This window comes from Homo sapiens, chromosome 4 (assembly GCF_000001405.40).
Source record: "Homo sapiens chromosome 4, GRCh38.p14 Primary Assembly".
Classification (NCBI taxonomy): domain Eukaryota; kingdom Metazoa; phylum Chordata; class Mammalia; order Primates; family Hominidae; genus Homo; species Homo sapiens.
The window spans coordinates 58,971,805-58,997,387 of NC_000004.12; the positions used below are offsets into that span (position 1 = coordinate 58,971,805).

The 25,583-nt window shown below is 33.3% G+C and overlaps 3 long non-coding RNA genes across 4 annotated transcripts in view; 1 reads left to right on the forward strand and 2 right to left on the reverse strand.

The window, feature by feature from the left end:
* Positions 1-4,266: 4,266 nt before the first annotated feature.
* On the reverse strand, positions 4,267-12,363 carry LOC105377246 (uncharacterized). Its single transcript, XR_938805.2, has 3 exons — positions 12,202-12,363; positions 5,210-5,309; positions 4,267-4,305 (listed from the first exon to the last, which is right to left on the reverse strand). It is a non-coding gene; the product is annotated as an uncharacterized LOC105377246 (long non-coding RNA).
* Positions 12,364-12,477: 114 nt separating this feature from the next.
* LINC02429 (long intergenic non-protein coding RNA 2429) overlaps positions 12,478-25,583 on the forward strand; it is a 62,678-nt gene continuing 49,572 nt past the window's right edge. Inside the window, exon 1 of the long non-coding RNA NR_133941.1 lies at positions 12,478-12,531. This is a non-coding gene — a long non-coding RNA (long intergenic non-protein coding RNA 2429). The remainder of the gene's footprint in view (positions 12,532-25,583) is intronic.
* Positions 15,383-16,350, reverse strand: LINC02619 (long intergenic non-protein coding RNA 2619). Of its 2 annotated transcripts, none has more exons than NR_133940.1 (3): positions 16,300-16,350; positions 16,012-16,085; positions 15,383-15,880 (listed from the first exon to the last, which is right to left on the reverse strand). It is a non-coding gene; the product is annotated as a long intergenic non-protein coding RNA 2619 (long non-coding RNA). The 2 variants fall into 2 exon arrangements; NR_133939.1 differs by having other exon boundaries at positions 16,012-16,151.

Below are 25,583 nucleotides of genomic sequence, written 5' to 3' on the forward strand. Positions count from 1 at the left end.
TGATTTTTTCCCCCTGGAGTGTTACATTTTCTTTTAGCATACAGATAATATACAGCCCAGTGTATTGTATTAAGCACTCAGTATTTGCTTATAAATTCACTTTGGTGGCTTAAGGCTTTTGCTATTCCTGTCCTTGTGATGAATTGGAAAATCTAATATGACTTGACATATTCAGCTCAACAAAATGGGACTTCAGTAGTTTTTGAAATATCCAATTTATGTTTATATGCTAATTTTCAATCTTCCAGAATTAAAAGTATCATATTCTTCAGTTTCCTTTAAGGTATCAAGTGGTGCCTACTGTTTGGGTAAATGATAACCTATTCTTTCAAAATTCCTCATCAATTTAATACATATTTATTAAACTCTAGTTTAATATTATTAATAAAATTACATATTTATTAAACAATAGTCATATAGAGAGATATTTATGTAGATTATAGATATATATGATTTAATGTACATGCAAGCAAATATTGGGACAACCATTTGATACTTTTCCTTAGAATCAAGAGTAAGCAGAGGGAGCACATTTTAATTTTCTGCAACATTTTTTAATGTGTGTGATTGGCTTATTTAGTAAATTTAACTTATTACATTCACTTTAATTTAAATGAAGCTGTTCTTAAGTTTAGTCAATCAAAGCAAAACCTATTTGACAATGCCTTTCGGGTTAGAAAGTCAGTACTGACATTTGAAATGAGTACACATACAAAGCTGCCAAAGTATTATCTGCCTTTAAATAACACTCTTGGAAACTTCAAAGTCATAATAGGAATTAATCAGAAATGATCAAATCTTATGTTTTATAGAGGGTACATATTTACAGTGATTTAAGTTTGTATTCATATTTACATGAATTTAGTCATTTTTTTAAAAACGTGTATTTTAGGTCCGGGGTACATGTCAAGTTGTGTTACATAGGTAAACTTGTGTCTCTGGTCCTAGCCTAATACCCAACAGTTAATTTTTTTGCTCTTGTTGCTCCTCCCACTCTCCACCCTCAATTAGGCCCCAGTGTCTGTCATTTCCTTTTTTGTGTTAATGAGTTCTCATCATTTAGCTCCCACTTATAAGTCAGAACGTGTGGTATTTGATTTTCTCTTCCTGTGTTAGTTTGCAAAGGGTAATGACCTCCAGCTCTATCTATGTTACTGCAAAGTACATGATCTCCTTCTTTTTTATGGCTGCATGGTATTTCATGATGTATATGTACCATATTTTCTTTATCCAATCTGTTGTTAATGGGCATTTAGGTTGATTCAATGTTTTTGCTTTTGTGAATAGTTCTGCAATGAACATTCATGTGCATGTGTCTTCATGGTACAATGATTTATATTCTTCTGGGTATATACCCAGTAATGAGATTGCTGGGTCACATAGTAGTTCTGTTTTTAGCCATTTGAGGAATCACCACATTGCTTTCTGTGATGGTTAAACTAATTTACACTCCCCAAAACAGTGTATAAGTGTTTCCTTTTCTCTGCAGCCTCACCAGCATCTCTTACTTTTCATCTTTTTAATAATAGCCATTTTCTCCCATTCTGTAGTTTGTCTGTTTACTTTGTTGATAGAGTATTTTGCAGTGCAGTCACTTTTTAGATGTCATTTGTCAATTTTTGCTTTTGTGGAGATTGCTTTTGGCATCGTCATCATGAAATCTTTCCCTGTTCCTGTGCCCAGGATGGTATTGCCTTTGTTGTCTTTCAGAGATTTTATAGTTTTAGGTTTTATGTTTTAAGTCATAAACTATCTTGAGTTGATTTTTGTATGTGGTGCAAGGAAGTAGGCCAGTTTAAATCTTCTGTATGTGGCTAGCCAGTTAGCCCAGCACCATTTATTTAATAAGGAGTCTTTTCCCTCTGGCTTGTTTTTGTAAACTTTGTTGAACCTCAGATGGTTGTAGGTGTTTGGTCTTATTTCTGGGATCTCTATTCTCCTCCACTGGGGTATGTGTCTTTTTTTGTACCAGTACTATGCTGTTTTGGTTACTGTAGCCCTGTAGTATATAGTTTTAAGTCAGGTAACATGATGCCTTCAGCTTTGTTCTTTTTGCTTAGGATTGCTTTGTCTATTTGGGCTCTTTCTGGGTTACATATGAATTTTACAATAGTTGTCTAGTTCTGAGAAGTATGTCATTGGTAGTTTAGTAGGAATAGCACTGAATCTATAAATTACTTTGGGCATTATGGACATTTTAATGATATTGATTCTTCCTATCCATGAGCATGGAATGCTTTTCCCCTTTTCTGTTGTCTCTAATTTCTTGGAGCAGTGTTTTGTAATTCTCATTGCAGAGATCTTTCATTTCCCTGTTTGGTATGTTCCTATGTATTTTGTTCACTCTTTGGCAATTGTGAATGTCATTGCATTCCTGATTTGGCTCTCAGCTTAGCTGTTGTTGGTGTATACGAATGCTAGTGATTTTGTATATTTATATCCTGAAAGATTGCTTCAGTTATGCATCAGCTGAAGGAGCTTTTGGCCAAGACTACGGGTTTTTCTACATGTAGAATAACGTCATCCGCCAATAGGGATAGTTTGACTTCCTCTCTTCCTATTTCAATGCACTTTATTTCTCTCTCTTGCCTCATTGCTCTAGCCAGGACTTCCAACACTATGTTGACTAGGAGAGGTGTTGGGTCATTTCATACTCATAAGAACTCTATTATATAGTTATCCTCACTTTACATATAAAGAAATCAAGCCAGAGAGTTTAGAACTTGATTTGCCTACCAATCTGTCTCCACAGCCACTACACTAAATCAACATGATATCTCATATTGCCTTTGTATTCACAACTAGGAAAATGTGATCATATGGCCATCCTACAGCTAAATGAAAACATCTGCTTAATGTACAGTGATGGATGCTAAATATTTGAAAATATAACTCTGTTAATGGTATTCGATATTTTAGGGACATATTACTTTAATTCTAAGATAATGTTAATTCTGAAGCATGGTTTTGTTTAATAAAATATATTCAGGTAAAAAATAATTACACATTGATTATAAGATGGCTCTTATTTATAGAAGCATGAAATATGAGTAAAAATAAATATCTTTACATTTTCATAGATAAAAACTACAGCTGAAATACATCAATAGGAGTTTATTATTTTATCAAGTATTATTTAATATTTTTATATATTTATGCAGATATCAGTATTTCACAAAACAAATTTAGGTTAAGTTAGTTAAAATTTTATGGGTAAATTATTTAAAAAAAAAGAATATCAGAGCAGGATTATTATTTGTGAGTTAAAATCCCACTACTCTTTGTTTGATTGTATTTCTATGTTATTTCTTTAATGATTGATAATGTCAAAAATTGACATTATCAATAACATTTATTGACACTATTGATAATGTCAATTATTCTCATTATCAATCATTAAGAAAATAACATAAAATGTAAAATAAAAATTATATATAAGGCCTGTATAAAAAAATAAAGAAAAATGAACTTTGATAAGAAATTAGAAATGCAATTAAATATAGGACACCTAAAAAGAAAGACCAGAAATACTCCATTATTCTGTTTACTAAACATGTTTTAAAGAGTCCAAAAGCAATCTCAGTAATTGCTTTGGAGACTGTCAAATACATCTGTGGAAGTTTATCAGATTGTGTCTAAAATAAAGTGAAATGAATTAAAACATGTTGAGAATCAGAGAATACAGATAAAGCATAAATATCATTCTTAAGGATAATTCTTCATGCTGTATCTCTGCTAGAGTCTTTTCTAAAATTGTTATTTACAGCCTATAACATAAACTCTTTACTACTTTATGGAGAGAATTTTGGTTGTGTTAAAAGTATTTTGGAAGTTCCAACTTGAAAATGTAAAACCAAAAGCAAGTAGTAGTCATGTTTTCAAGCTTCAAAGAATGATTTGTTTATATGACTCTAGAATTACACTAAATATATATCTTGAGAGCAACATTATATTCTATTGGTTAAAAAATGCTTTTTGTAGATGTACAGGTGATATTTTCTTTTCTTTTCTTTTCTTTTTTGAAACGATGTCTCGCTCTGTCACCCAAGCTGGAGTGCAGTGGTGCGATCTCGACTCACTGCAAGCTCCGCCTCCTGGGTTCACGCCGTACTCCTGCTTCAGCCTCCCTAGTAGCTGGGACTACAGGCGCCCACCACCACGCTCGGCTAATTTTTTGTGTTTTTAGTAGAGACGGGGTTTCACCATGGTCTCGATCTCCTGGCTTCGTGATCCGCACACCTCGGCCTCCCAAAGTGCTGGGATTACAAGCGTGAACCACCGCACCCGGCCTTATTTTCTTGTATACTATTAAACACACACAAATAGAGTTCAAATTTTGTTTACATTTATCTGTTTAAAATGTAATTATTGATTTTAATGATGCAATCTATTTAAAATTCAAATAATGATTTTGAAAATTAAAATATTAAGCTTTAGCTAAAAATATTTTGTGCACATACTACTATGCTATAAAAGTTTAGAAAAACTGTGACTTAGGTATAAAAACTCAATACTAGGTTTCATGAAAAAACATACAATGATATTTATTTTTGGCCCATGCCTCTGAAATTTGTTTCACCATAGCCAGTTACATACACACACCTCATTAAAGGTAAAGAATGTATAATTACCACACGGAATTCATAATTTGTACCTTTTGAACTAAATTATTTAACTGTTTACTTTTATGGGATCATAGATAGTAAGTTCAGAAAATGAAAATGCATTTTCTAGCTAAGAGGAAAACTTTGGCATCTCTAATACTTTCTAGGGAGACAAAATGTGAACCTGTGGTTATTACCTTAGTATTTAAGAAGGAGAGCAAGTGACTAGATATCTCTCATATGTCCTGAAGTCAAACAAAACCTCTTTGGTAGGAAGATGTCTGAAGAAAATAACACAGGCTTTCTGTCTTTGCTTATGTATTGGACAGTACTAGGATACTTCAAGGGTAACTTTGAGGAATCCTTTGCATAACCTCAAAATGAAGTGGGGCAAAATATCTCAGCTCTAGGAATTCTTTTAACATTCTTAGATATGTGGGAATATGGCTTGGAGAGGAAATGAAAGGACAAAACTATCTCAACAAATGCTTCCCCAGCCTTCAACTCCACAGATCAGCCTGCAACAACAGATTATCATATACTGGATATTAAACACACACACACACACACACACACACACACACACACACACATTTATTTCTCACAATTCTGGAGGCTGGGAAGTCCAAGATCAGTGTGTTGGCAGAGCTCAGTTTGATGAGGGTCCTTTTCCTGGTTTACAGATGGGCCTCTTCTTTCTGTGTCCTTATCGTAGGGTGCAGAGAGAGTTAGCCCATGTCTACTCCTTTTTTTATAAGAATATTAATTATGAACTACTACTTTGCAAGACCTCACCTTTAAATATCATCACATTGGGAATTAGCCTTTCAACATATGAATTTTGGGGATATACAAATATTTAGTCCACAGAAAGCCTGAAGGACAGACTTTCCTTTTTTTTCTAGAACATCTGTTGACTTACTTTTCCATTTTTGACACACAGTAAAACTACCATAGCTAATTTAAGAAAAATATAGATAAACAGAAGGGTTATTTATGGATTAATAAAATTTACTTATAGTTAAAATGCTTCCTTAAAAATTTCCAAGGCAAGATAAAAATTTACTACTGCCAAAATCTATCTATCACTGCTAAAAATCTACTACATATGTAAGAAAGAAATAATATCAATTCTATACAAGTTAAGAAGATGCACTTTGCAGCTCATTTTACAGGGTCGGCATTACTCTGTTACCAAACCAGAAAAAATACATAAAAGGAAAGAAACCTAAAGGATAATATCCCTAAGGAAATATACACCAAAATCTTCAACAAAATCTTAGCTAGTCATATACAGCAATATTAAATATAGGTAGTAAATTACAAAAAGTGAGCTTTGTTTAAATATTAGAAAATCACTTAATATAATTCAGTGTGCAGATAGGCTACTAAAGAAAATCCAAAGAATCATTTCAATAGATACAGAGAAAAAGCATTTGACAAAAATGCAGCAATCATTCATAAACATAGTCTTATAATTGTATTAACTTAATAAAGGTGTCATTATGGGCTAAATTGCTTCCCTCTCCTGAATTCCATATGTTGAAATTCAAATCCTCAGTGCCCCCAAATGTAATCATATTTGGAGATCGGGTCTTTACAGAGATAATTAAGCTATAATGAGTTCATTCAAGTGGGCCATATTCCAATATGATTTATGTCCTCATGAGAAGAGAAAATTGAAACACAGACACGTACAGAAGGAAAACCTTGTGAAGACACAAAGAGGATAAAGCCACTTGGAAACCAAAGAGAGAAGCCTGGAACTGATCCTTCCCTCACAGCTGTAACCAAATGTGGTGACATCTAGAGTTCAGCTTCTTCGCCTCCAGAACTGTGAGGAAATAAATTTCTGTGATACTTTTTGGCAGCAACCTTAGCAAACCAATACAGGGATTTGCACACAACCAGCAATTATCATTAAACTTAATGGTGAAAAACTGAATAAGTTTCCTGTAATACCTGGAAAAAGCAAGAACGTTTATTCTTACCACCTGTAACATTTTACTAGAGCCCCCAGCCAGTGTAATAAAGCTGAAAAAAAGATACAAAAAGCACGCAGATAAGGAGAGATGAAATAATACTCTCTTTACAGATAAATTATGACACAACTGAGTGTACAGGCAATGTTGAAGAATATACAAAATGGCTATTGGAACAAATAAATAAATTTAATAAAACTACAGGACACAAGATTATTAAAGAAAATCAATGATATTTGCTTATACTAGCAATAAGCATTTGGAAATTGTATCATTTATGATAACATCCAACACATGTAGTATGTATGGCTAAATTTACCAAAATATAGATTGTTGAGATATTCTATGAAACATTATTGACAGCTAAAGAAGGCCTATATAAATGGAAATATATGTTAAGGAAACTAAAGATACAATAATGTTAAGATTTCAATTATCCAGAAATTTATACATGTTTAACTAAAGCCTTATTAAAAAGATTAGTAGCTAGCTTTATTAAATTCCAATGATGTCTCACTATGCTACATATTTTTAAGTTTTTAAAACAGATACATGTATAATATGAAATAATATTGGTAATTGCTACATCATCACCTCAAATACTTATCACTTATTTCTCCTATCTAACTAAAACACTGTACCCTTTGATATCTCCCAATTCTCCCCAGTCCCCAGCCTCTGATCATAATCATTCTAGTCACTGCCTTTATGAGTTCAATTGTTTAAGATTCCTCATATAAGTAAAAACAGGTACTATTTGTCTTTCTGTGCCTGGCTTATTTCACTTAGCATAATGTCCTCAGGTTCATCAATGTTGTCACAAATGATAGGATTTCCCTCTTTTTAAAGATTTAATGGTATTCCATTGGGTGTGTTGTGTGTGTGCGTGTGTGTGCACGTGTGTGTATATATATATATATATACTACATATAAAGAGTGTGTGAGTGTGTATCACATTTTGTTTATCCATTGATTTGTTTATGGACACTTGGTTTGATTCCATAACTTGGCTATTGTAACCTATCCTGCAATGAATATAGAAGTGCAGATAGCTCTTCAACGTATTTATGTTTATAAAATACATCGGATATAGACCCCGAAGTAGAGTTGCTAGATCATATAGTAATTCTATTTTTAGGTTTTTAAGGAACCTCCCTACAGTTTTCTGTGGAACAAATCAAGAGCAAGACAACAAATGACTCAATTAAAAGTAGTCAATGCACCTAAATAGATGTTTCTCAAAAGAAACTGCTCCTAAATGCAAACGGCAAACAGATATATGAAAAAATAATCAACATCACTAAATATTGGTGAAATACAAATTAAACTACAATGAGATAGTCACACAAGTCAGAACGGCTACTATCCAAAATGATGAAAGATAAAAAGTGTTGATGAGAATGTGAAGAAAACCAAATCAGACTGTTGGTGAGATTGTAAATTACTCCAATTATACTTGGCAGGGGTATTCTAAACTGATTTTGAAACTATAAAGAAAGTAGAAAAGCTTTTAATTTATTTTTTATTTACTAAAGAGAAGTACATAGAGGACTTACTTTTCCTGCTTCAAGACTCACTATAAAGTATAGTCATAAAGACAGTGTGGTATTGGAGGACAGACATACAGAAGCATGGGACGAAATAGAAAGTACAAAAATTAATAAACACATATACAGTCAATTGATTTTTGCCAAAGATCCCAAGGAAATGAATGAGAAAATGATAGTTTTCTACAAATAATATTGAAGTAATTGGAGTCCACATCAAAAACAGAAAAAGTTTTACGTCTTAAAAGTTAAATCATAAACCCAAATGTAAGTGGTCAACTTCAAAAGTTGAGGAAGAACACAGGCACAAAATGGACCAACGAATGTTGTGACATTGAATCAGGAAAGCTTAAAATAATGCTCAAAGGGCATGAGCTGTAATTTAGAATGAAGATAAATTCAATGTATAAATATTTTTTAAAAATTCATTTTCAAAAGAGGCTCAATGCATTGAAGAACCAAGCAAAACTGTGAGAGGATGTTTTCAAATATAAATGGGTAAAGAAATTGTGTACAGAACTTCTAAGTTACACTTAAAACTCAGTGAAGAAGAAAACTCAACAATAAAATAAATGTTTGAACCCTTTAACAAAGATACATGAATGATAAATAAGAACATAAATATATAAGAAAAATGGTTAAAAAGTAAAAAAATTCAAATTAAATTGGCAATCATATACCCCTACCTACCTAAAATATTAGTTAAAATTAAAAATCTGATTATACTACGTTATATAAAATTTCAGAAAAGTAAAAATTCTTTATCTTTGGGGATTTGGATTATTTACTGTTATATCAAAACATATTATACACATGCAACATTTTAATAATGTATTATTTGCTTGTCTTAATATTCTAGAATGCTCAAGGATGATTCCATCTATTAATGAAACAGGATATATGGTAGAGAAACAATTGTTTCACAAGACGGTTTATCAACATAAAATTATAATAAATCACTGGAGATAATATGTTTATGGGACATTTGAAGTCCTATCTGGGGAAACATAATGCTAGATCAGTGCCTAACTTATTGTCTCAATTAAATAGAAAGTATATTAAAGAGTTGAACAGTAATAAAAAAAGGAGATAAAGCAGGAGGAAGAGAAACAATAAATTCTAGGTGAAAATACATGTGATTGTTTGACTTTAGTCTATAAACAGATTCCTACACAAGCAATATAATAAATTCAATGAGAAGAATTTAGAGACTTGATAAAATACAAAAATATGTATGATCAGCTTCCCAAAATTTATCTTAAAAAGGAATGTAAAAATGAGAAAAAATATTTTATCATGTGTATCAAACCTAGAATATCATTTTTAAAACATGCATACAGTTGAACACAAAAAGTAGAAAAATAAAATAGACAAGCCAAACAAAGAATATCAATAGCCTTTTACACAAATAATAAATTGAAACAGTAAATGATTTAACATATTTAAAGGGGGGTGGTGCATCAAACAATTCAAGAAATACAAACAAAAATAACAATAATGAAAAAACAAAAAAATTGGACAATTTATTTTTTGATTTTGTTAAATATTAATAGCATGGAACATTGAAATAATAACTTGAATTCTGCTGGTATGTGCATAAATTGCTTTAAAATATAGTTCTGTATAGCTATTTGGCTATAGGATGACAATGCTTTAAAATATTATCTTAAACCCATTAATTCCCTTTCTAGGAATGCATCCAAGAAAAATTTCAGAGGTTTAGACAAAAATTATGAACAAAGATACATATAGCTCTTTATAATAATGAAAAAAATTTAACTGCAATCTCTTCTCAATGAGGCCAACTTAGGGGCTTATTTCAGCTTCTTTTTAAATCCTTTTTGTGTAGTTCTATATTTTCCCATGAAAATTATCACCTTCTATCATAATGTTACAATTATTTATTATTATTTATTATCATTTATCAGTTACTTCCTGCCACAGAACATAAGTTTTATGTGTGCAGCCATTCTTTTCCTAGTTGTGTTAACTGATGTATTCTAAGTGCAAAGAAGAGGCCCTGTCTATATTAAGTACTCAGTAAATAATTGGTGATTAAAATAATTAATAATATTATTATTATATATGTATTTTATTATTTATTAAATAATAAAATTACGTTTTAAAACATAATGAGTATTTAGGCATATTTAAGCATATATAAATTTTCCTGTGTGTGCAAAAATCAGACAACAATCTACTTTTATAGTGACCATAATCATACACATATATACATGTATGTATTCAAAACAAAAGAATGCAAAGGTTCAAATGGTAGACTTAAAGGTGATCTTCATTTGCCCTCATCTCTAAATATTCTATAATTATTATATAATAATCGAACACTTAGAAATATAATTAAAAATATAGTCTAAATATATATTGATATATAAAGTAGTTCATAAAGATAATGTACCTCAATATCATATATTTAAGAGAAACAAAAATATCTTAATATATGGATTTAAAATGGGGAATTGAGGAAACACGCATGATGTGAAATAACAGCTTACAGCACAAGACTGTGCCATGAAGAATTGAGACTTTTATAAAGATATGAAAAATTCATAAAGCTGCCACCTTCCCCAAGCCACTGGCATCCCTGGGCTAGTGCATTTATTACAGGGGTCCCCAACTGCTTTCTCCGTTTGCTCATTTACCTCTATAATCTTTTCTCTTCATTGCAGCAGAAGGCTTTTCATTATACATAAGATGAATTGCCTGTTTCTTCTCAAACTCTACAATGGTTTTCTGTATCATTCAAGGCAAAAGTCAAAGCACCTAACTGTCCACACTGCCCTAATGGACGTGAAACATCTACCAAATTTTGGTATCAGATTATGTCATATCAAGATTTATCTGTCTATTCTAAATAAACCTAGCAAACCCTCAACCCACAGCAACTTATTCCTCACTATCCGGGTTCAAGCAATTCTCCTATCTCAGCCTCCCGAGGAGCTGGGACTACAGGCGCCTGCCAACACGTCTGGCTAATTTTTGTATGTTTAGTAGAGACAGGGTTTCACCATGTTGGTCAGGCTGGTCTCGAACTCCTAACCTCAGGTGATCCACCCACTTCGGCCTCCCAAAGTGCTGAAATGACAGGCGTGAGCCACCATGCCTGGCCCTCTGGTATTATTTTTCTTCACTGGAATTGTCACTATCTGATAGAAACCATGACATAGGTAGAAAATACCATGTACTGTACATATATATTAAATATTTATACATGCATACAGACAGACATATGCTCAAACACATACACACACAGAATATACATTACATATACTTAATACAATTATTTAGTTCACACCCTAGTATGCCTAGTATATTATATATTTAATATTTTTATTTCACCAATTAATGCACGTCTGCACAGGCACACACTTGTGCTATTTCTCTAAGTCCTTTGTCTTGAAAATGCAGTTTTCTAGACATAAATGCAATGAGTTCTAGAAATAAGTCTATTATCTTCTGTAGTCAGTATTGGATAATTGAAATAAATGTATTTTTTAATTTTTTTTATATTATATTATATAAGAGAATGAATTTTAATTATTTGAATCAACATTGTATTTTTTTAAAATCTAGCTGAAGACCTGGCACATGCATGGAAGCTGATGAGTATTTATTTACTGAATTAGACATTAAATAAATCGGTGCATCTTTTGTGGTCACTCTTTCTACATAACAAGGATTTGATGGTTAATATCTGCATGTAATGTGAAAGACATTGTAAATCTACTTATGTATATATATATATATGTATAAATATATATATAATTGATTTGATCAATTTATTGGTCTTCCTATCTGTCTATATCTATGCCCTATATTTATGCTTAAATTGCTCAGCAATTTTAAGTGAGGTGCCCCTGTATAAGTGATTTCTTCTCAAGTTCCTGTTATTTCTTTAAGTTCTCTCCCCAGTCCTAAACAACTACAAAACTTCCTAAGAAGATAAAGTTGAAGAAATAGTTCACAGCAACATTCTAATTTAACTCTATTCATATATCCTAGGTGGCACAACAAGAGGTTGAAAAAATCTGTGCAGATTGTTTTACATACCTCAATAGAGCCTTTTATATAATTCTGAGTGACTAATTTCTTTCAGCCTGTTTAGACAGGATTAGATTGAACTGAGAATCTCTCCTAACATAATTACGTGATTATCTTGGGATTCTTCTTTTGTTGCTCATCTTGCTACATCACATCAGTTGGAAGAGAAAATCTGTCGAATTATACATGTCGAGTTCTAGAATTTTGTGAATGTAAGCACACAGTCTTTGAGATGTAAGAACTTTATGACATAATTATGAAGATAAACATTGATCCTCACATCTGCTCTGTCAAACTAAGCGTAAGTGGTTCACAGTCTGTACCACAGCTAAATTTAAAGTGAGTGATCATTTTGATAAATATTGTGACTGACATTTATATGGTCTAGAAAATATCTGACTGACTTTTATAAACCAGATCTATGAGTTGAGAATGGGAACACTGTTAGGCCCAGCACGCATTGTGTCTCACGCTTGTAATCCCAGCACTCTGGGAGGCCGAGAAGGGTGGATCACATTAAGTCAGGAGTTTGAGACCAGCCTGGCCAACATCGTGAAACCCCGCCTCTACTTAAAAAAATGCAAAAATTAGTCAGGTGTGGTGGCACGTGCCAGTAGTCTCAGCTACTTGGGAGGCTGAGGCATGAGAATCACTTGAACGTGGGAGACGGAGGTTGCAGTGAGCCGAGATGGAGCCATTGCACTCCAGCCTGGGTGACAGACCAAGACTCTGCCTAATAAAATAAAGTAAAATATAAAGAATGGCAACATTGTTGACCAGTGAAACTTAAAGAAACAGTCCCAGAAAAAGTTATTTTTAATTTAATTTACCAAGTCCTTGGAATGTATGTTTTTCTTAGGGAGCTAAGGAAAGAAATTTGATAATTTTACAAGAATTATCTAGAGATTATTTCTTATTTATTGAAGTTTTCAAAACTAGTTCAGAATACTCTTACATCAGGAATTATCTTTTAACTAGATAAGTAGAATTCTCATGACATTAAGTGTAGCTTAAGTTAATGGTCATTTATAATTTAGAATGTCATCTATGTCAATAAAAGTAACAAATAACTGCATGAGTATTGTAAAATGAAATAAAATATCTGGATTTTTCAGTTTATTTCTCTTATAATGTATTCAGACAAAGAACTGTGGCCTGAGATATTTCCTATAGAAGTACAATAATTTTTTTACTTAGTTTGTTTTTTAAAATTCTTTCAATTGAATATTTGTTTTGAGCTTATGTCAATTTCAATTAAGCTATTTTTGTAAAGTAAGTAGATTTGGGTGGCACTTCCTCTTTGATAGGCAGCTCTATTCTTCAAAAATCTCTCTATTCTTTCCTACATTGAAAATTAGAATGTTGGTTAAGTAAATGACAATGAGGTAGATAATTGAAAAGTATATTCATTTCATAGAAATAGAAACATCATTTTTATTAGGCACTGTGTAAAACCAAAGTACACCCCAAACTTCTAACATATTTGGTTTCAGAATATTTATAACTCTTTTTATTTACCTTGTGTGGCAGACATGTAAGTAATAGTGTGGCAGCAACCATTAATGTTTTCCAGCGTAATTTATTTTTCTTTAGTAAGACTGAGAAGTTGGGTGAAGTAACTGGTAGTGATTAAAGAGAGTTGTGAACTCAAAGAATCTATTGATGAAAGAGTTGTTGAGATATTTCGAGGGAAAAGAAGACCAAATAATTCTGGTAAAGTAAAATTATAGGAATATCTGTAGGGAACTGTGGGGTAAAATAAGATGTTAGAGTTATGTAAAAAAAAAAAAAAAAAAAAAAAAAGCCAGTAAGGGTATGTTTAGTAGATATATGGATAATTCAGGAAAACGAAATCCTAAAGATATTCTGGAAAGTTCAGGAAAATCAGCTTATAATCAAAGTACCAATGAAGATACAGAGAATATTCAGCAGAAGATACTGTGGGAGAAGGGTGCTGTGTCTTTGTGTGTGTGTGTGTGTGTGTGTGTGTGTGTCTTATATGTGTGTGTGTGTAAGTTTAAATTCTATGTATCTTTAGCCATCACGAGTGGGCATTAGTAGAGATATTATCAGTGAATAACTTACTACTCTCTGCCCACCCACTTCTTTGGAATTTTTTTAAAGAACCTATAGGTCTAGCCGGGCGCGGTGGCTCACGCCTGTAATCCCAGCACTTTGGGAGGCCAAGGCGGGCGGATCACGAGGTCAGGAGATTGAGACCATCCTGGCTAACACGGTGAAACCCCGTCTGTACCAAAAGAATACAAAAAATTAGCCAGGCATGGTGGCGAGCTACTCAGGAGGCTGAAGCAGGAGAATGGCGTGCACCCGGGAGGCGGAGCTTGCAGTGAGCCGAGATCCCACCACTGCACTTCAACCTGGGCAACAGAGCGAGACTCTGTCTCAAAAAAGTAAACAAATAAAAACAAAAAAAAGAACCTATAAGTCTACATATTTTTTATACCGGCTAACTGTGACCAGATGACACAGCCTGGACACCAAAACATAAAAGTCTTCTATAAGATTTCTAAGAGTATACTCATGAGTTCTAGAAATAAGTCTATTATCTTCTGTAGTCAGTATTGGATACTTGAAATAAATATATATTTTTAATTTTGTTATTATAGAGTCTTCAAATGCTTTAGCATCTCTCTTTTGCAAGTCTGTTTTAGTATAGAGTCCTTAATCAGTTTTTCCCTAATTGGACTGCTAAGAAAATCACCTAGAGACTTTTAAAAAGTACAGATTTTGTCTCACATCTTTTGCTATCACTATCAGAATCTTCAGGGTGCATGTTTTAAAATTACAATTTTGAAAAATACCCCAAAAGATAGGTGACAGGGAAATAAAAACTTGAGAACTCAATTCACTATGTCAAAGAAAAATAATAATAATAAGCTGAAAGCTGAGTCATGCAAGAAACTACCTTTCCTGCTGTTCTTAAGCAGACAGCTACAGATGAAAGGTAAAATATCTCCATAGGCAGCTATGCCATGTTCACATGATCTTATGTAAAGTGCCAATTTACTGAGAACAAGACAAAAATATAATTGATTATTCTCCTACCTGCTCCTTTTGTCTTACAACATGTGGATTACCGTACCCTCTCTTTCCCCTCCAGATTACTTTTCCCCTTTAAATACTGGAGTCCTCAAAATCATCTTTGGAGAAATGCACAGACCAGGGACTGTTTCTGTGATTGCATGTTTATTTCTTCTGGGCATATCCTTAACCTTGGCCAAATAAACTTCAAAACTGATTGAGACTTGTCTCAGATACTTTCTGTTTTACACATATTTACTTACAGTAGTAATGAAACTAGCATTTTACATGAGATATTGAAGGCATAAGAATTTAAATCAAATGTTTCTTAGAAAGTGATAAAAGTATCAGCTTGTTTTCTTTTTTTAACCAAAAAATGGAATTCAGAAAATTGTAAAGATCATATGAATAGCTGACTAGCCCATGAACAAATCAGTTTAGCATACACATTAATATCCAAATAGTGACTTAGTTGTAAATTTTATATTTGCTTAAGTTGGGTTCTTGCTACATAACTCAAATAAAATGATTTCTGTAGATGCTGTCATATTTGCTGTTTGGGCAATTTAGTTGTTCCAGCCTTCAGGCTTCAGAGTGTCTGAGGTGACCATGAGCTGAAGTGGTCCGCCAGCACAGCACGGCTTGTCTATGAAAACACGGTCAAAGCACTTTTTAAAGCAGGTTCCTGGTCTCATTCCTCCTGACAAGGGCAAGACCTCCCAACCAGGGTCTCCAGCCACCTCCTACAGTGCATTTGAGCCAGCAATATGTCCATACCTCCCTGTGACAGAGCTCCTAGAAGACGGGGCAGACTGCCATCTTTGCTGCTTCGCAGGCTTCACTGGTGATACCTGCAGGTACAGGAAAATCTGAGGTGACTAGGCATTGAAGCGGAACCCCAGCATACCACAGCAACCCTACAGAAAAATGCACAGACTGTTAAAGGAAGAAAAACATACAAAAGTCAACAAAAGTCAGCAACTTCAAATACTGAAGTTAAATAAGCCCACCAAGATGAGAAAGAATCAGCACAAGAATGCTGAAAACTCAAAAAGCAAGAGTAACCTCTTTCCTCCAAATGACTGTATCACCTCTCCAGCAAGGGTTTGGAACCGGGCTGAGGCTGAGGCAGTTAAACTGACAGAATTAGAATTCAGAATTTGGATAGAAATGAAGTACACTGAGCTAAAGGAGTGCACTGTAAACCAATGCAAGAAAGCTAAAAGTCATAATAAAACATTGCAGGAGCTGTCAGACAAAATAGTCAATAGAGAAAAGAGCGTAACCAACCTGATAGAGCTCAAAAACACACTACATAATTTCATAATGTGAACACAAGTATTAATAGCAGAAGAGACCAAGTGGAGAAAAGAATCACTGAGCTTGAAGTCTAGATTTCTGAAATAAGACAATGAGACAAAAACAGGAAAAAAAAAAAAAGAAAAGGAATGAACAAAACCTCCACAAAATATGGGATTATGTAATGAGACCAAATCTGTGACTGACTGTGTTCCTGAATGATATGGGGACATTGGAAACAATTTGGAAAACATATTTTAGGATATCATTTATGAGAACTTCCCAAACCCAGTTACAAAGACAAACATTCAAATTCAGGAAATGCAAAAAACTCCAGTAAGGTACACCATGAGAAAAACATCCCCAAGACACATAATTATAAGATTCTTCAAAGTCAAAACGAAAGAAAAAATGTTAAAGGCAACTAGAGAGAAAGGCCAGGCCACCTACAAAGGGAAGCACATCAGACTAACAGCGAATCTCTCAGCTGAAACCCCACAAGCAAGAAGAGATTAGTGGCCAATATTCAATATTTTATAAAGAAAAGAATTCCAACCAAAAATTTCAAATCCAGCCAAACCAAGCTTTATAAGCAAAGAAGAAATAAGTTATTTATCAGACAAGCAAATGCTGAGGGAATTTCTTACCACCAGACGTGCCTTAAAAGAGCTCCTGAAACAAGGATTAAATGTGGAAAGGAAAGACTATTACCAACCACTACAAAAACACACTGAAGTATACAGACCAGTGACATTATAAAGCAACCACATAAACTAAGTTTGCAAAATAACCAGCCAACATCATGATAACAGAATCAAATCCACACATATCAACACTAACTTTAAATGTAAAAGCGCTAAAAGCCCCAGCTAAAATACAGAGTGACAAGCTGGATAAAGAACCAAGGCCTTGCTATGCTGTCTTTAAGAGACCCAAATCATATGCAATGAACAGATAGGCTCAAAATACAGGGATGGAGGAAAATTTACCAAGACAATAGAAAACATGAAAAAGATGGGGTTGCAATCTTAGTTTCTGACAAAAAAGACTTTAAACCACCAAAGATCAAAAAAGACAAAAAAGGGCATTACATAATGGTAAAAGGTTCAATTCAACAAGAAGCGCTAACTATCTTAAATATATATGTACCCAACATAGTAGGACACAGATTTATAAAGCAAGTTGTTAGAGACCTTCAAAGAGACTTAGACTCCCACTCAATAATAGTGGGAGATTTTAATACCCCACTGACAATATTAGACAGGTCATTGAAACAGAAAATTAGCAAAAATATTCAAGACCTGAAGTCAGCACTTGATCAAATGGACCTGTTAGATAACTACAGAACTCTTCACTCAAAAGCAACAGCATATACACTCTTCTCATTTTCACATGGCACTTACTCTAAAATTAATTACATAATTGGAAATAAAACACTCCTGAGAAAATGAAAAATAACTGAAATCATAACAAAGAACCTCTCAAACCACAGCACAATCAAATTAAAAATCAAGACTAAGAAATTCACTCAAAACCATACAATTACACAGAAATTGAATGACTTCTAAATGACTTTTGGGTAAATAATGATATTAAGACATATATTTGGAAGTTCTTTGAAACTAATGAGAACAAAGATAAAACATAGCAGAAGCTCTGGGACCCAGCTAAGGCAATGTTTATATAAAAGGTTATAGCACTAAATGCCCATAACAAAAAGTCAGAAATATCTTAAGTCAACATACTAACATCATAACCAAAAGGACTAGAAAACCAAGAGCAAACAAATCCCAAAGCTAGTAGAAGATAGGAAATGACTAAAATTAGAGCTGAATTGAAGGAATTGGAGACAGAAAAAAAAAAAATTCAAAAGATGAACTAATTCAGGAGTTGGCTTTATTTTAAAAAATAATAAAAAGATAGACTCTAACTAGACTAATAAAGAAAAAAGAGAGAGAAAATTAAAAAAAAAAACACAGTTAGAAACAATGAGGATATTGCCACTGACCCCACAGAACTACAAACAAAACTCAGAGATTACGAACACCTCTATGCACATAAACTAGAAAATATAGAAGAAATAAATAAATTCCTAGTCACATACACTTTCCCACAATTGAACCAGCAAGGAATTGAATCTCTAGACCAATAATGAGTTCTGAAATAGAGTCAGTAATAAATAGCCTACTAACTAAAAAAAGCACAGGACCAGATGGATTCATAGTTGATTCTACCAGATGAACAAAGAAGAGCTGGTACCATTCCTGATGAAACTATTTCAAAAATTCAAGGAGGAGGGACTTTTTTCCTATCAGAATCTTCAGGGTGCGTGTTTTAAAATTACAATTTTGAAAAATACTCCAAAAGATAGGTGACAAGGAAATGAAAACTTGAGAACTCAATTCACTATGCCAAAGAAAAATAATAATAATAAGCTGAAAGCTGAGTCATGCAAGAAATTACTTTCCTTCTGTTCTTAAGCAGACAACTACAGATGAAAGGTAAAATATCTCCATAGGCAGCTATGCCATGTTCACATGCTCTTATATAAAGTGCCAATTTGCTGAGAACAAGACAAAAATATAATTGATTATTCTCCTACCTGCTCCTTTTCTCTTACAACATGTGGATTACCATACCCTCTCTCTTTCCCCTCCTGATTACTTTTGAAATTGAGTCAGTAATAAATAGCCTACTAACTAACTGGTATCAGCATTATCCTGATACCAAAACCTGGCTGATACAACAACAACAAAAAAGAAAATTTTAGGCCAATATTCTTGATGAACATCAATGTCAAAATCCTCAATAAAATACTGGCAAATCAAATCCAGCAGCACATTAAAAAGCTAATCCTCCACAATCCAGTAGGTTTTACCCCTGGGATTCCATGTTGGTTCAAAATATGAAAATTCATAAATGTGGTTATTCACATAAACATAAATAAAGGCAAAAACCTCATAATTATCTCAATATATTTAGAAAAATATTTCAATAAAACTCAACATCAACTTACGTTAAAATCTCTCAATAAACTAGGTATTGAAGGAACATACCTCCAAATAATAACAGCCATCTATGACAAACCCACAGTCAACATCGTAATGAATGGGTGAAAGCTGGAAGCATTCTCCTTGAAAACTGGCATAAGACAAGGATGCCCTCTTCCACCACTTCTGTTAAAGATAGTATTGGAAGTTCTGGCCAGAGCAATCAGGCAAAGGGAAGAAAGAAAGAAAGAAAAACAAGAAAGCAAGAAATCAGGAAAGAAGGAAAGAAGGAAAGAAAGAAAGAAAGAAAGAAAGAAAGAAAGGCAATAAAGAAAAAAGAAAAGAAAGAAAGGCAATAAAGAAAAAAAGAAAAGAAAGGAAGGAAAGAAAGAAGGGAGAGTGAGAAAGAAAGAAGAAAGAAAGAGAAGGAAGGAAAGAATGAAGGAAGGAAGAAAGAAGGAAAGAAAGAAAGAAAGAAGGAAAGAAGGAATGAAGGAAGGTAGGAAGAAAGAAGGAAAGAAAGAAAGAAGGAAAAGGAATGAAGGAAAGAAAGAAAGAAAGAAAGAAAGAAAGAAAGAAAGAAAGAAAGGCAATAAAGAAAAAAGAAAAGAAAGAAAGGCAATAAAGAAAAAATAAAAGAAAGGAAGGAAAGAAAGAAGGGAGAGTGAGAAAGAAGAAAAGAAAGAAAGAGAAAGAAAGAAAGAAAGGGAGAAAAGGAGGAAGGAAGGAAAGAATGAAGGAAGGAAGGAAGGAAGAAAGAAAGAAAGAAAGAAAGAAAGAAAGAAAGAAAGAAAGAAAGAAAGAATTCAAATAGGAAAAGAGAAAGTCAAGGTATCCTTCTTTGCAGATGACATAAACTTATATCTAGAAAACTCCATAGTCTCAGCCCAATATCTTCTTAAGCTGATAAACAACTTCAGCAACAACTCAAGATACAAAATCAATGTGCAAAAATCACTAACATTTCTATACACCAACAATAGTCAAGCTGTGAGCCAAATCACAAACGAACGCTCATGCACAATTACCACAAAAAAAAAAATAAATGAATAAATAAAACACCTAGGAATACAGCTAACAAGGGAACTGAAAGATCTCCACAAGGAGAACAAACCACCACTCAAAGAAATCAGAGCTGACACAAACAAATTGAAAAACATTTTATGCTTATTGGTAGGAAGAATCAATGTCATTAAAATGGCCACAATATGCAAAACAATTTATAGATTCAATGCTACTCCCATTAAACTACCACTGACATTCTTCACAGAACTAGAAAAAAAAATTTAAATTCATATGGAACACAAAAAGAGTCTAAACAGCCAGTGCAATCCTAAGCAAAACACAAATTTGGAGGCATCATGCTATCTGGCTTCAAACTATACTACAGTGCTACAGTAACCAAACAGCATGGTACTGGTACAGAAACAGACACATGGACCAATGGAACAGAATAGAGAACCCAGAAATAAGACTGCACACCTACAAATAACTGATCTTCAAAAAACCTGGCAAAAACAAGCAACGGGGAAACAATTGCCTATTCAATAAATGGTGCTGGGATAACTGGCTAGCCACATGCAGAAAACTGAAACTGGACCCCTTCCTTACATCATATACAAAAATTAACTCAAGATGGATTAAACACTTAAATGTAAAACTCAAAACTAAAAAAGCCTGGAAAACAATTTAGACAATCCCATTTAGGACATAAAAGCACAGGGAAAGATTTCATGACGAAGATGTCAAAAGCAATATTAACAAAAGCAAAAATTGACAAATAGGATCTAATTGAACTAAAGAGCTTCTGCACAGCAAAATAAACTATCAACGGAGTAACCAGACAACCTACAGAATGGTAGAAAGTTTGGCAAACTATGCATCTGACTAAGGTGAAATATTCAGCATTTTTAATGAACTTAAATTTACAAGAAAAAAAAAAACACCATTAAAAAGTGGGCAAAGGACGTGAACAAATAGTCTTCAAAAAAAGACATACATGTGGCCAACAAGAATATGAAAGAAAGCTCATCACTGATCCTTAGAGAAATGGAAATCAAAACTACAATGAAATACCATCTCACACCAGTCAGAATGGCTATTATCAAAAAGTTAAAAAATAACAGATGCTGGCGAAGTTGTGGAGAAAAGGGTCACTTACACACTGCTGGTGGGAGTGTTAATTAGTTCAACCATTGTGGAAGACCTGGGCGATTCCTCAAAGACCTAAAGACAGCCATACCACTCGACCCAGCAATCTCATTACTGGGTATGTACCCAAATGAATATGTCATTCTATTATAAAGAAACATGAATGCGTATGTTCAGTGCAGCACTATTCCCAATAGCAAAGACTTGGAATCAACCCAAATACCCGTCAGTGATAGACTGGATTAAAAAAATGTGGTACATATACACCATGGAATACCAAGTAAAAAAAAAAGTGTACCTGACACATCATAAGCACTATGTAAAGTGCTTATTAAATAAAGATTAAGACTATGTTCAAAAAAAACTTAGAATATTTAGATAAAACTACAGATGTTTTACATTACCTCGTAATCACACCAAGCCTCTTGTCAAGGAAGTTGTAAAGCTAATGATGGGGACCTATTTGTAAAGAATTTGTGATTTATTTATTTCAGAACTTGCTGCAGTAGCTAATATATTTATCACAGTGTAGACTTCAGAATGATGTTATTTAAAATGTCATGGTTAAAAATGGAAGTTTATGTTTTTTTATTGTGGTTAAATTCTGTTAATTTTTTTCTTATGTTGATACTTGTATTAAAATATTTTAAATTTTTATCAAAGGTACTTTAGCTGAAGTTTTTACATTAGTATAAAAAACTGATAAATTACTTACAATTTTGTGTGATAGGTTTCTCTAGGTTTTAAGCTACCAGATGCTGAGCACCCATGTGTTATAATCACTAAAACATTCTTACGTGGCCCAGCATACGTGAAGAACAAATGGGTATATGATTGAATCCATTAAGGAACAGTTATAAGTTGGTTTCTATTTAAAATTCTGAAAAAGGGCAGTGGTCAGTAAACTATCGGAATGCTTTATTTTTTCTAGTCTCTGACATTAATTATATCAAATTAAAATAGTTTCTTGACAAGAGAGAATTAAAAGGATATTTTGCAAATATTATTCAATTTGTAATTGTCACACTTTAATCCAATTATTTACACATTAAAGTATAAACAATAATTGGCCTTATGCCAACCATAAAAATGAAAACAAAAATTGTCATATTTGTAAAGAAAAATTGTTTTTCAACTGTCTATGGCATAAAATATGCTGCCATTAATTGCTTCGTCTTTAATGTTAGGCTTGTCAACATAGTTATTTGTTATTTTTAGGATATTTTATAAGTTGATGACTCCTGAGCCTGTTTGAACCATAAACCAGACTAGAATTCTATTAATCTAAAAAGGACACTCCTCAATTTCATACGAGTAGCATTCTTTCTTATTCTGATAAATACAAGTTTAAAAAATTCTAAGTGAGGAATCCAAAAGAAAAATACAGCAAGTAGTTTTTGCTAATTTTGTTATTACCTTTCATAATTCTAGGCACTTTCTTTAAGATGAACTAAAGCTTTGTGTGTGTTCTGACATATTGACATTGCCTGGAAACCTACAAATGCAGGTTCTAATAGAGATATGCAAATGATGAATGAAGATGCCATTTGTTTTTTATCTGTTTTGGCATTTGAAGTCACCGGGTCACATTATATTTTGGGCACATGTAAGTGAGATTGCCCTCATATAAACATCACTGAATGGGAAGTGACATGGAGATAATGTAATAATCTTCACATATCCCAAATGAAAAGATTTAATCAGTTATACAAAATTCTTAAAAACCGAAATATAATCTAATTTTGCTATGATAAATTGGCCCATTTCCATGGAAACATCTTCATCTTTGTGGAGAAAAAAAAATAAAACTTTTCATCTAAGCAGCTGGAGATAGAGATCGTTGTAATGGGCCACTAAGGATTTTAAAAATCAATGAGAAATGATTAATTCAGTAGAATCAGTACAATTTACCATCCTACTCTTCAAGTCAATCCTCACTTAATCTCTGTTGCTATTTTACTGCTTGACTATATTTTTAACTCCTCTGGCAGACTGTTCAGAGATAAGCTTGAGCTAAATTTTATCAAGTGTTGAAATCCATTGGTGCTTAAGATGATAAGCATTGTTACATTTGCATTATACAAGTTTGAAATGTTAATAGTTTTTGAAAATACATAAAGATAGAGTGCAAGCTGTAGTTTGGAATGTTTTCTTCAACTAGTCAGAAAAAAAATTGTTTTCTTTTGTTTTGTATTCAGAGGCAGGGTTTCTTCTGTACAGGCTAAAGTGGCATGATCATAGTTCACTGTAACCGCTAATTCCTGGGCTCAAGCAATCCTCCTGCATCAGGCTCCCAAGTAGCTGGGACTACAGGCATGTGCCACCATGCCCAGCTGATTTTTTAAATTTTTATTTATTAATTTATACAAGGTCTCACAATGTTTTCCAGGCTGGTCTTGAACTCCTGTCCTCAAGCAACCTACCCACCTCGGCCTCCCAAAATGCTAGAATTACAGGCAGGAGCCACTATGCTCAGCCAGAAATCATGTTTTAAAATGAATATTTTGCTAACAGTTTTTTGGCTATATGGGTTCTCACCTTTTTTTCAATTTATATCCATTATATTCACTGGGAAACGAAAAGAAACATAAATGTTGAAATACTGGTATTTTTGTTGGACTTCAGGTTAGTAAATTTCCTGTGATTATGGACGGTGCTTTAAAGGCTTTACTTCCATTGTAAAATGAGGGAAATAATATATATCTCAAATGTATTATAGAGATGTAATAAAAGTCTATAAGGGATTTCTTTTTTACAATTTCCATTAACAAATTTACATTGCTATAAATGTATAGGAATGTTTTATCATCTCTTGGTCAACATTGAAGCCCAAGAAAACTGGTGATATTTCTATGAAACTGTCAGAAGATGTGTCGAATCTAAATAAGCTATTGAATTGGCTTCTTGTTGGGTAGAATTTTCTTTCATTTGGGAGACCAGTTGAAGGTCAATTATGTAATATCATGAGTATGCTACCATTTTAGCAGCAGATGGGCCATATCAGGGCAGGGGACAGAGAGTGTAACTGAAGACATCCACTAACAGTCAGTATCAACTTCCCAGCCTGTGAGTAACCTTGGAAGTAGCTCCTGCTCCAATCAAGTTTCTGACGACTGTAGCCTTGGATGATACTTTGTCTGAACTCTATGAGAGACCCTGAACCAAAATCACCTAGCTTAGTCATTCCAAAATTCCTGTCCCACAGACATTGTGAAGATAATACATTTTGTTTCAAATTATCTTTAAAAAGTAAATAAGCAAGTTGAAGATATACAGGAAGCATAAGGATTTGTAAAATTGGGGAAAAAAAAGTGGCAATAATATCAAAATTAGCTACTCTGGCCTTCAAATTTAAGATGAGTTAATAGGTTTGGGTTTATTATTAACCATATCCCTTGATTTTTTACTTCTCATCTCCCATCCAATCACCTCCAATTTTATTAGAGATGAGAGAAGAGGCTGTTGGTTTGAATTGCATAGAATGGGAAAATTGGGTTATTTATTATACTCATTCTTTTTCACGTCTTCCGAGGATCTTAAATTAGGTAGAATCACATTTAAATGCATTTTCTTGGGTTTATGGTTTTGCTGGAGTTGGCCCAAATTTGCTTTCTCTAAGGTCTCTATAATATTTGGAACCATATGTGTTTCTAGATTACTGGTTAATATCTGGTTTTATGTGCCTCAGGATGAAATAATCTTATTATACATTCCTTACATTTGTTCTTCAGATTTGAGTACAGTGAAAGAATTTGCTCTCCAAAGTACTAAAATGCTGTGTTATCCAGGATCTGGGAAGGTTTTTCCATGAATAATGATCTAGAATGGTCACTGATACCTTGGTTACTAGCTGCCAAATGCTTTACAACATCTTTCTGCCTACTCATACCAGCTCTGTCCTCACCCCTT